Here is an 11,287-nt window from a genome sequence, read left to right on the forward strand (position 1 = left end):
TTAGTGCATGTCTAAAGGCATTGTGAAGAATAATTTTTTGAAGTATATCATGCTAGAAAGGAAGGATGCACTGGCATTTTAATATGATTATTTGATATAAAAATAATAAGCTACTCAACACATGCTTCCCCATAGCTAGGAAAAACATAAACATTTCTCCTGACGAACTGGAATCTCCTGCCCTACTCTGATCTGATAGTAGGTGGCATCATTTCTATGCCTCTCTTTTTCTCCAACTGGCAGAAAGGTGAGCCTAAAATTCAAGTTATTCAACTGCAGGATCTTTGAGGGAGGTCCTGGTTTTCTGGTTTAGTTTTATCCTACGCCCTTTTATTACGTGCCTTTGTTTTAATCCTTATTTTAATGGTTTTATTATCATAAGTTACCAAGATAGCGTTTTGGAACCAAGAAGAGCTATGGAGAAACAGAGTGAATGAGACTCATACTATGGTGCAATCAGTGAGATGCCACCCTTCAGAGCTTGGAAAGACTCATTATGTCTGAGGCCCATCTCTCTGATACAGGTGTGAAGCACAAGGGATGTTTAGCAATACCAGCCAGGACACACATTTGGGATCACAAATATACAGCAGAAACTATTCACAACTGACAACCACAGATCCATAAGACAGAAAGGCACCATATTCAAAGGGCAGAAAGAGCACTGAAGTCATGCAAGCAGCTGTAAGTAATAGGGTATCATATCAGGCAGAAGTAGCAGAGACTATCAGGAATACTTAGAAATCAGGCAGATGGTGGCCATCATCAGATCTGATTCTATTTCATGAAACACCACAGAGTGGAATTAGGGCATAGTGACAGCATCTAAAGATCCAAGGAAACTTAGCAGAGGCCTAGTACCGTGTAGACAGAAGGGGACAATTTCCATATCTATAGAGCCACACTGGCCCCTAGGATATAATTCGGAATCATGGCCTCCCAGATCTAGTGAACTGCAGAGATTCCAGCTCAGAATGAGCAATAATACGGGAGCCCAGCAGTAGTAGCAGGGCCACTATATGTACCCAATGAGGAAAAGAGAGTCAAAGGCTCCAAATATGCTTCCTATTGTTGAGTTTGGTCCAGGGACTGATAGGTTTGCTGCAGGTGGGAGTAGATTCTGCACACTTTTGTTCAGGCAGAAGCAGAGGAGGGAAGGAAGATGTGGCAAATGACTTCTCTTTATAAACTGGAGGGATTATAGTGGTGCCTATGCAACTCTTGTTCCAAAATCAACGCTTTAAGAATATTTAGGCAACTTTAAAAGAAATACTTGGCCGGGCGCGGTGGCTCACGCCTGTAATCCCAGCACTTTGGGAGGCCGAGGCGGGTGGATCATGAGGTCAGGAGATCGAGACCATCCTGGCTAACAAGGTGAAACCCCGTCTCTACTAAAAATACAAAAAATTAGCCGGGCGCGGTGGCGGGCGCCTGTAGTCCCAGCTACTCGGGAGGCTGAGGCAGGAGAATGGCGTGAACCCGGGAAGCGGAGCTTGCAGTGAGCCGAGATTGCGCCACTGCAGTCCGCAGTCCGGCCTGGGCAACAGAGCGAGACTCCGTCTCAAAAAAAATAAAAAATAAAAAATAAAAATAAAAATAAAATAAATACTTCTTCTGAGCCTGGCCAACATAGTGAAACCCCGTCTCTACTAAAAATACAAAAACAAAATTAGCTGGGCATGGTAGCGGGCGCCTGTAATCCCAGCTACTAGGGAGGCTGAGGCAAGGAGAATTGCTTGAACCTGGGAGGCGGAGGTTGCAGTGAGCCAAGATGACGCCATTGCACTCCAGCCCGGGCGACAGTGCGAGACTCTGTCCAAAAAAAAAAAAAAAAAAAAAATTCCTCTTCGGTGGCTTTCCAAATCTATGGAAAGCGTACTGCTTCCTGTTAATTCCTATTCCTCTCCAAAAATGCTTGTAATATTTTTAATAGTATGGTTGTGTATATCCATTTTAGCACTGGTGCAATCTTAATTAAGGTTGTAGAAAAAGTATAGAATTTGTGGAACGTTGTGTAACTTTGAGAATCCTTATGACTGCATTTTAAAGAATTAACAACAAGGAATAACTAGTAATTTTTTCAGCTATAGAGAGAGATATGAGAAGACGAGGACACAGGAAAGATCATGGCCATATAAAAATCAGGACCACAGAGTCACCACAAATTATCAGAAATATTCTAAGTCAAGTATACATAAACTTGACTATTTTCTTAGAATGATTTTAAAAGATTTAGCACAAAAATGGGTTTCATTTCAGAGAATCAAAATCAATAAACATTTTAAGTGAAAAGTAGTACACAATTGACTACAACAAAAAATGAGGAAAAGTCTTGGGATTGAATCAACCATAAATGACCTGTTAAATGTAAAGTACATTATGACTATATAAGCAAAATTAAAAAAAAAAAAAGGCCCAAGACCCAATGAATTCATCAATTTTTTAAAAAGAAGCATGAGATCAAAGGTAGAACTAAGTGGTGAATTTCACAAAGTAGACCTAGGCAATTTCAAATTGGCTGCTATACTTTTCAAGGTAAAGGACACAAACCAAAGGTACCTATATATTCTTTTCATGATATTTATTTCAAGGAGACAGATCAAATTAAAAACTTCAAGAATGTTTTCTGCCTGGTAAATAAATATTCCAGCAACCCACATAGGCACAGACTCAGACACTTAGTCCAATAGAACTCCAAAGAGGTTTTCCTGACACTGAGAAGAGGGGGTGAGTTTTGGGGGAAAAATTTTTAAAAATAAAGTACTTCCAGTCTATATATTGTAAACTCACCTATTCATGGATTTGTGAAATTTAGAAACAGCCTAATAAAAATTCTAGGACAACTGAGTTGTCACAACGTCACAAGAGCACAAATTCATATTGAGTGACTTTTCTAGTAATATGAACAAAACCAACATAAATTTCCCTCAACATATCAGAAATAATATATATTCTATTTAGTTCCAAGAAAGAAAAAAAACTTTTATAACTTGAGAAAACTCAAAATATATGACAATCTGTCACTAAATTAAAATAAGCTATAGTAATAAGTGACTATGTAAAAAACCCACTACAACTATGCGTTCATCTTCACGTACAAAGGCTATTTCTAAATGGGTCAGAGTAAAGCTTTGGCTGATACATGCTGATGGCAGAATAGGGCCAGAAATGAGCCAAAGCTGTGTGTATTCCAAAACTCATTGATATTTAAATCTGGAGTGGGTCTTTGTGCTTACATTTGAACATGTTGTGAGAACATGAGCCTCCTGTTGCTTTGTAGTAATACATGCTCATTCTTACAAAATGTTTGCCTTGTATGGTTAAGGTATTTTACTGAGGCTATAAAAGGAGGGCACATTACTTTGGTGGGGGTAGAGGAGAATCAACACAACTATTTTGCTAGTGCACTACTGCTAATACATGTCCTGCAAATAGAAGCATGACCTGATGGGGAAGCTTTAAGAGACAAGAGTAGTAGAGACATTGTCTTATGACTTGGGAGTGGGAATAAGGTATTCCCCCATATGTATGTATTACTTCCCCTTTGCTGAAATAAGCGCAAGAAATAACTAATGGTTTTCTCCGCTATAGAGACAGAGATAGGAAAGGATACAAAAAAGACCATGGCCATAATAAAAATCAGGACTACACAGTCACCACAAATTACCAGAAGATGAGAGAGAAATACTCTGTCAACTATACTACTGACATACACTGGAATGTCTTCTTAGAAGAAATTTTAAAGGATTTAGTGAACAACCAGTTATTATTTCAGAAAATAAAAATTAATAAAAATTTTCAGTGAAAGGTAGTATACAATTGGCTATTATAATTGGCTGTTTAGTTCTTTGTACCCTCCACAAAATTGCAAGATATTTTTTAACTTTTTATTTTAAAGTAATTAAAATTTCACAAAAAACATGCAAAGAAATGGACGGGAAGGTCATGTGCACCCTTCATCCAGTCCTCATTCTCAGTGTTAACATCTTGCAAAACTGCAATATTAAAACCAGGAAACTGACAATAGTACAATCCATGGAGCTTTTCATAGAATCCATAGATATTTCACCAGCTATACATACAGTTATTTTTGTTTGTATGTGTGTATAGCTCTATGTCATTGTATCACATGTGTAGCTTCGAGTAACCACTAGCACAATCAAGACACTTAACTGTACCATCACCATAAGACTCCCTAGTGCTACCACTTTATGCACACCCCACCCTCTCCCCTTCCCCTCCCTAACCCCTGGCTACCACTAATCTTTCTCCATAATGATCTTATTTCATGAAGGTTGTATAAATGAAATCATTCAGTAATGTATCTTTTTAAGACAGGTTTTTTTTTTTCACTCAGCACAATTTCCTTGAGGTTCATCCAGGTTGTTACCCATAATAACAGTTTGTTAGTCTTTATTGCTGTAGTCTATAGCATGCTTATATCACAGTCTGTCCAACCATTCACCCATTGATGGGCATATGGGCATTTCCAGTTTGGTGCTATTACAAATAAAGTTGCTGTGAACATTCATGTTCAAATTTCTGTGTGAAAATTAAATTGCAACATTTTTAAGGGAATGAGTGGTGTTTTATTCACCATTGTATTCTCAACACTTCATATGACACATAATAGGTAATCAAAAATGTCTGTTAAAGAAATGAATGAGTGAACCCAAAAATTGCCTCTAAGTGGCAGAAAATAAAAAAGGACTCATCTGTTGGGGGAAACCTAGTTGGGAGGAAATAGGCCAAGAAGAGGTCTTGAAGTGGAACTGGTAGCTTTAAGACTACAGCAGTGTTTCAGAAAGATTTCCGACACACGAACAAACACACATCAATCAGAATATTTTTAAATTTAATTTAAATATTGAGCTTCATATTAAGAAACTGTTTGGATTAATAAGCTATAGCTGACCTTTTTAAGAAACAACTGGGGAGACTTCCATTTCTAGCCAAGATGGACTGAAAGGGACTGGATGTGCCCTGCTTCCTGAAACAACCAAAAATAAACCCCGACAAAATATATGAAACAATGGTTGTCAAGACATGAGCTATCAGACCACAAAGGACGTTGATCCCTGAGGGAGGTGAATCCTATGAAGGCTCTGGCTTAAGCCCGTGAAGGTTTCTTAGCAGTGGCACAGGAAGGGCAACTAACTCAAGGGAGGCAAACTCCATGAATTGAGGAAACAGAGCTAAAGATATGGGATAATAAAGTAGCTAGAGCTTACAGGACAGAGTTCAGGAGAGAGCAGATGCACAGACAACAATCTCTTGAAATCTGCAGAGAGTCTCAGAGATCTGGATATGTGCATGAGGAAGCTACCCAAGGCTGAGGAAAGAAGCATCGGAAATAATTATACGGGGAACAGTACCTGGCACCTTCCTAGGGCTGGAAATAGGCCTTTTCTCACCAGTCACAATGGAAAATCTCTTAATTCATATGCAATTAGGTAGAACCTCAGTAGTGAGAAATGAGGTAGACTATGCACTGCTCTGGTCTCTCCTAGCTAACATTTTAATCCCAAAAAATTGAAAGCAAAAAGAGCCAAGTGAATCTATCTATATCTAGCTGGTGGCATAATCACACCAAAAGAAACAATTTTACATGACTTAAAACCTCAGTAATACATACATCTTTAAAGAGAAGGGGGCTGTACACAGGGTGTACACAGGATGTGTACATCACTACTGATGGTAGTAGTCTTGGTATTATTATTCTGAGCCTGTTATAAGTGTATTTGTAGCATAAGCAAATAAGTACGCTACTATCATTAAGAATTAAGATTGTAGGATGGTCAGCTGGGAAGAAAGGACATTGATATGATACAAGATTTATGTGACTAAATTAAAATCCTGTTGGGTTGTATATTAATAGGAAGTATTAGTGTGAGCTCCTGATGTATTTAGTCTTAAAATTAAACATACACACGCACACTCTCACACACACACATACACACACTTTTTCTAGCTCTTTCCTTTGAAAGGGCCTAGATTAAGGACAAAGTCAGTAGCAATGAGCTCACTAATTTTAAGATTACGGTTTTCAAGTACTAGTTCCAAGACAAAAAAAAAAAAAGAAAGAACTAAAATTTCTTGGATAATTGCCTGATTCCAGGTTTGGAAAGGAAATATTAAAGATGAGCCTGTTATATTTTGTCACACCAATTATCCTGGAAGCTCTCAAAAACTTGAGGTTCTTTCAAAAACACAGAGGAACCAACTGAGATAAACTTTGAGTAATCAGAGATGTGGCAAACTGGGCATTCATAAGTATGATAACTGCAATAGCTTGAAGCGCATTAATGTTCACAATGAAATTTTTTAAACCATTGGTAAACTTTAGAGGATGTTAAGGAACCACACATTATATTAAGAACTGATAAAGGGAGAGAATAAAGCATCCATCCTGATTTTCTTATATAAATTGAAACTCTAACAAACTAGTTTATCTTTATAGAACTATTCCACGCAATAAATAAACCAGAAATGACAATTATATTGCCATTTTTCAAGCTCTAAGGAATAAATAGATGTAGGCAATGATCAACAACACCTGCTAACGTCACAAAAAGAGAAAGAGCCAGTAGTCTTGCCCCCCATCCCCTAAATGAATTTCATCAAGTTTCTAGAGTCTTCACTACCCATTAACAGGTAAGAAACAGGGCTGAGGAGCTCATTAAATGACTCTGCAGGAAAGCATCAGCAAATGCAGACTATGGAAAGCTCTACAGCACAAACAATCCAGTTTCTTAAGAAACAAGGAAAAATAAACATAAACCTATAGATTAAAAGAGGAGACATATTAACCAATTACAATGTATGGACCTTATTTGTATCCTGCTTCAAACAGTAAAGAATACAAAACTTTAGGAGACAACCAGAAAATTTTGAATATTGGTTTTGTATATTTGAGAATAGTAAGAAAATGTTGACTTTTTAAGTGTGGTTAATTTTCTAGATGTGGTTCATTTTTAAGTTAAAAAAATCTTATCTTTTAAAGATACAGACTGAAATGTTACCAGATAAAATGATGTCATGTCTGGGATTCGCTTCAAAATAATTTGAGGTGGAAGTGGAAAGTGGAAACAACAATTATGAAACAACCTGGCCCATGAGATGATAGCTGTGGAAGGTAGGTATGGTTATACAAAATTTCATTACACTTTTCCCTCTACTTTTCTAATATATTCTGAATTTTCATAACAAAAAGTTAAATACACTTAAAAGTAGACAAATACTAATTTGAGGTGGTGGTTAAGGACTCAGAAGTTACAGTCCATGTGTCTGAATGAAAGTACTTTCTCAAACATGCAGATATCAGAGATTTGTAGGATTCCTTCAATGGAGACCCATGTTTTCTCCACACAGAACACTGGTTTCTGAGCAAAAGTAGGCCCTCTTTCTGAAAACAGATCTGACAATATGAAAGTGGTTGGCTACTTAACTGAAGATACCAAAAGGAAAAAAAAAAAGGACACCAAAAAACTGGGTCTACAAATGTGGTTGTTGGTTCTCCTTGTTTTTTTTTTCAAATAAGGCTCGGTTTAGGAGCAGTCTAATAGAGCATGTGACTGCTATACTTCCAACAGTATCTTTGCAAATAAATACAACCCATACAATTTAATTGTCCATCCCACTTTTCCTGTTTGTTTATTACTCTTCAACAGCAGTTTCACCTCATGCTTTTTAATTTTTTCATCCTGAGGCAAGGAAGAAGGATCTTTAGAGTTGTTAAAAAAGTTTCCTGAAGTCAAGTAATTCATTAGAAAGTATGTTTTATCCAGAATCCTATTGTTTCACTGCAGAAGGAACACTCAGTAGCTTGTCCAAGGTTATGCCAAAGGAAGTCTCCTCTCTCTCGCTTATCTGAATCCTATCCTTCCAAAAGAACATGCCCAGGTCCAATAAATGGAGTTCCTAAAAGGACGGATGTCTCCCATTTAAAAAAATATTTCCCAGAGTCTCTAGGTTCAATGTCCTACAAATAATCAGCATTCAAGATATGAATTTACTAACTTTTAAAATCTATACAAATTTAAAATTTTCAATATTATTTTATACGCAATTATCCTATCTATAATATTACTGTCTAGCATTATTATAAAAGTATCATCACAAATCCTAATGATCATTTCCACTAAACGCCTGAAAAGGTCATGGGAGATTTAAACTCTGATGTGTGCTTTGGAAGTAGAATCAGCTTTTGGAGAAACAAGGCTAGGGAGCACTTTTTGAGGCCGATTACATTTTTGGAATTATTTGCCAAGTTGTATTGCCAAGTTGCATTGCAGAACTTGTAAGAAAACTTTTTCCTTTTTTTATTTTTATTTTATTTATTTATTTATTTATTTATTTTTTGAGATGGAGTTTCACTCTTGTTGCCCAGGCTGGAGTGCAATGGTGTGGTCTCAGCTCACTGGAACCTCCACCTCCCGGGTTCAAGTGATTCTCTTGCCTCAGCCTCCCAAGTAGCTAGGATTACAGGCGCCTGCCACCACGCCCGGCTAATTTTGTATTTTTAGTAGAGACAGGGTTTCACCATGTTGGTCAGGCTGGTCTTGAATCCTGACCTCAGATGATCCACTCACCTTGGCCTCCCAAAGTTCTGGGATTACAGTCATGAGCCACGACACCCAGCCAATTATAACTAAACTTTTAAAAATATTTGTCCCCATAGTTAGAATTTTCATTAGTGTATTTATCTTTTTCATGTAGTCTTGTTTACAAAGGCCATTTTAAAAGTTGCTGTCCCAGGCTTATAAAGTAATTTTATAATGTCTTCCTATCGACCATATGAAAAGCATTCATCTCTGAGAAAGTATCATAAAGAAATTCTACTGTAATAATTCAAATATTAAAGTAAACATAAAAAATTATATTGTATGACAGAATACCAAAAGAAATAGAAAATCTCCGCAAGAGGGTATTTAATTTCTGATGAAAACAAAATAGTACTCTTTACAATTTGGCCTATCACATGACAGTATTTCTCAAAATCCTGCTAAATTAATGTTGGAGCACACTTCTTCAGGCATTAATGATTTCAGTAATGGTCAATGGTAGTTGATACAGATAAGAAATAACTGATAGTGATATCAAATCTATACATATTTGACTCTCCCCACATTTCTAAGTGATCTAGACCAGAGCTAGGTTGTTTATATGGTAGCCACTAGTTACATGTGGGCTATTTATATTTAAATTAATTAAATGTAAATAAAATTCAAAATTAAGTTTCTCTGTTGCACTAGCCATGTTTCAAGTACTCAATAGCCACATATGGCTAGTGAGTACCATATTGGATGGTGCAGCTATGGAACATGTCCATTATCACAGAAAGTTCTACTAAACAAGGTTGGTCTACATTAGAGAGGTTACTACTGATGAATGGAAAATCTCAAATATATACATAAATGTGTGTGTGTGTGTATATATATATATATATATATACATTTATTTCTATAGCAATTTTCCTTTTGTTATAGGAGGTTTCATTAAATATGTCAAATTTAAATTTTTTTTCTGGAAAAATTTATATTTTAATGTAAACAGTTAAAATTGTGCCATGAGCATTGTACTATAGATTTTCATTTCCCTTGTATTACAAGGAGAATGAATTCAAAAGATTCCATTTTCTCAAAATAGTGAATTATAACATTACCTGGTCTTCCCCTTCAATTAGGATTTTCTTTCTTTATAAACATCTATTCTAAGCCCTCTCTGCTTCCAATTTTACTCAGCCAAAGCCCACTTTTATTATGCAGCAAGGAAATCCCACTTCTGGCCTCAAACTTCACTTTCAGTGGAGTTTGGTAGCACTTCCGGTCTCAGACTCCACACTTGTGAAGTTTGCGAGTTACATAAAAAATTAAATTCCTGGCCGGGCGCGGTGGCTCACGCCTGTAATCCCAGCACTTTGGGAGGCCGAGGCGGGTGGATCAGGAGGTCAGGAGATCGAGACCATCCTGGCTAACAAGGTGAAACCCCGTCTCTACTAAAAATACAAAAAATTAGCCGGGCGCGGTGGCGGGCGCCTGTAGTCCCAGCTACTCGGGAGGCTGAGGCAGGAGAATGGCGTGAACCCGGGAAGCGGAGCTTGCAGTGAGCCGAGATTGCGCCACTGCAGTCCGCAGTCCGGCCTGGGCGACAGAGCGAGACTCCGTCTCAAAAAAAAAAAAAAAAAAAAAAAAAAAAATTAAATTCCTAGCCAGGTCTTCCTATTGGGTGAGGAGGCCCTTCCAAAGTTCCAGCGAATTCCTTAGTCTGACAACTTTTCTCAATTCAGAAAGATGTGTTTGGTAACATATATTAAAAGGCAGAAATATGCAAATGCATAAACAATAGAATTTGACATAATTATGTGATAAAGTGAAATGCTCCTGCAGTTAGTTATTGAACATGAAGGACCTCTCTAATTCTTCAGAGAAACTGTGAGATAATCTCTACCATTTATGCTTAGCAAGGAGCCATGCTGCAGAGGAAAAGTAGAAATACACACGAGTGACAAAAGCAAAAAAATATATATATGAAAAACTCTGAAACCACCCTCAATGAAAAGTAATATGTCTGTATTTAAAGAGTAGGTAAATCATATAGTGAATTTAGAAGGTAAAAAACGAGGTCTATAATTACATGAGTATATAGAAAATGTTAAGTGTTTTCGTGAAAAGGTATATAAACAATAATGAATAATCATTTCACATTGAAAATAATTTAATTTTAAAAGGAGATAGTACAAATAACAAAAAAAAAAGTCGAAGTACGGTAATAGTAGAAATTTCAAATATTTTAGGAATGTCTTTCTCCAGAGTAGCATGTTGTTTAGAAACTAAATTTCCACAGTAGATTTCATAGCTCCTGAACATGAATTAAAACTTTGATATTAGCTGCAGAAATGTACATTAGTTTGTGGGGAGGGGATAAAGAAAATAATGTGCCAACCTTCCAACAATTTCCCCAAACAGATTTTTGCATCTTGGTCATTACACTTACTTTCAAGATTCTTTTCTTGGTTTAAACATGTAATCTTGTCTCTTTGCTCACCTGCTCACTCTTCAAGCAAGCCTACAGCCAAATAAATTGCCATACTTGTTTACCAATAAACCATTATTTTCCAAGGAATTTTTTCTTAATTTTTAAAATTTAACAAGTTTAACTACAATTAATAAAGTACTCCCGGCACAAGGACTCTGAAACATTGTTTGGGTCTTGGAAAAGTTTGAAACTTCCAATTCATTAGGACTTTGAGTAACTATTTTGTACCTAAGAATGAGAATTGATGGAG

This window comes from Homo sapiens, chromosome 7 (genome assembly GCF_000001405.40).
Source record: "Homo sapiens chromosome 7, GRCh38.p14 Primary Assembly".
Taxonomy (NCBI): Eukaryota; Metazoa; Chordata; class Mammalia; order Primates; family Hominidae; genus Homo; species Homo sapiens.